This window comes from Homo sapiens, chromosome 11 (genome assembly GCF_000001405.40).
Source record: "Homo sapiens chromosome 11, GRCh38.p14 Primary Assembly".
NCBI lineage: Eukaryota > Metazoa > Chordata > Mammalia > Primates > Hominidae > Homo > Homo sapiens.
The window spans coordinates 1646576-1648460 of NC_000011.10; positions in this window are offsets into that span (position 1 = coordinate 1646576).

The following is a 1885-nucleotide window of genomic DNA, read 5'->3' on the forward strand; positions in this document are numbered from 1 at the left end:
TAAAGACCAAAACACTTTTCACTAAAGTGACTTTTGGAACTTTAGATGACATTATATTTAAACTTTGTATCTTAGAGGTATTTGTTTTAAGCAGAAATATTTACAATCTAGCTCATCCTGAGAACCAGCCTCTCCACAGCACCGCTTTCCAATGCGACCACCTTTCCAGAGAGGGGCCCACCTGTGGGTTGTGGAAAGTTCTTTGCATTTTCTTTTTTCTTTTCTTTTCTTTTTTTTTTGAGACGGAGTCTCGCTCTGTGGCCCAGGCTGGAGTGCAGCGGTGTGATCTCGGCTCACTGCAACCTCCGCCTCCCGGGTTCAAGCGATTCTCCTGCCTCAGCCTCCTGAGTAGCTGGGATTACAGGCGAGCGCCACCACACGTGAATAATTTTTGTATTTTTAGTAGAGACAGGGTTTCACCATGTTGGCCAGGATGGTCTCAGTCTCCTGACCTCATGATCCGCCTGCCTCGGCCTCCCAAAGTGCTGGGATTACAGGTGTGACCCACTGCACCCAGCCGGTTCTTTGCATTTTCTAGGACGCAGAGCAGACCTGTGTGCTGAGACCTGGCACGGATGGGAGCCCTCTTGGCACAAGAAGATTGACAGCTGTGGTAGAAGGTGCTGTTTCTTGCCAGGAGGGCGTAACATAGAGCCATTTCTGATTATCTTTTACCAACTCTCACTCCTAATGAGAACTATTTCTCATACCTAAAAGCAAGTTTTACTGCCTCTATGGTGAAAATAGTCTAGTTTAATAATGTTTTCTCTTGGGACAATGATGCTTTGTAAATGGAAATAACACAGATTCTGTACTTTGCCCCATCTTGTTTTTCTTTCTTTCTTTCTTTCTTTTTAGGCAGTGAGACAGACTTTATTCAGGGGGACTACAGCAATGAGGTTTTGCGGCAGGGAAAGAGGTTGCAGCTTTTGGGTTTGCTTCATGCCTTGGACACACAGTAACTTGGAATTCTTGCACTTACAATTTTTTGAATTATGAAAGTAATACATGTTAGTGGCTAAACAAGAAAGGAAGGCACGGCCGGGCGCGGTGGCTCACGCCTGTCATCCCAGCACTTTGGGAGGCCGAGGCGGGCGGATCACGAGGTCAGGAGATTGAGACCACGGCGAAACCCCGTCTCTACTAAAAATACAAAAAAATTAGGTGGGCGTGGTGGCGGGCGCCTGCAATCCCAGCTACTCTGGAGGCTGAGGCAGGAGAATCGCGTGAACCCAGGAGGCGGAGCTTGCAGTGAGCCGAGATGGCCCCACTGCACACCAGCCTGGGCGACAGAGCAAGACTCCGTCTCAAAAAAAAAAAAAAAAAAAAAAAAAAAAAGAAAAGAAAAGAAAAGAAAGAAAAGAAAAGAAAAGAAAAGAAAAGAAAAGAAAAGAAAGGAAAGCACGAAGGAAAATAGCAAAGGGTCCCGGTGTTGCACACACACAAAGCAGCAGCAGCCGCTGGAGGTCTTCCGTGTTTGGTAAAGGTGGCTACGGACTCCCGCATGGAGACGCGGCCTGGAGGGTGTCACTGCTCTAGGCTGTCTGCAGGGCCTCTCCGCAGACCTGGACGGATTTCAGTGGGAGACTAGAGCGTCACTTAAGATGTTTGAATGTAAAAGCATCCTGAATGATCATCTTTTAGCTTGAGATTTTGGCTACCTTTCAAACAGACATAGTTTGACCTTTGCAGTCCTAGGTAATGCAGGAATGGCAAATGCTCCTGAAGGCGGGGAGGCGGCCCGGCCCGCACTGAGCTTCTCACCGGCCAGAGGGCGCAGCCACCCGGCCTTCCCGAAGCAGGACAGCGGCCTTTCCAAGACCGCGGAGTCCCCGTGAGGGATGGTGCCTCCGGAGCCTGGCATCTCGGGCGGATGAGAAGCTGA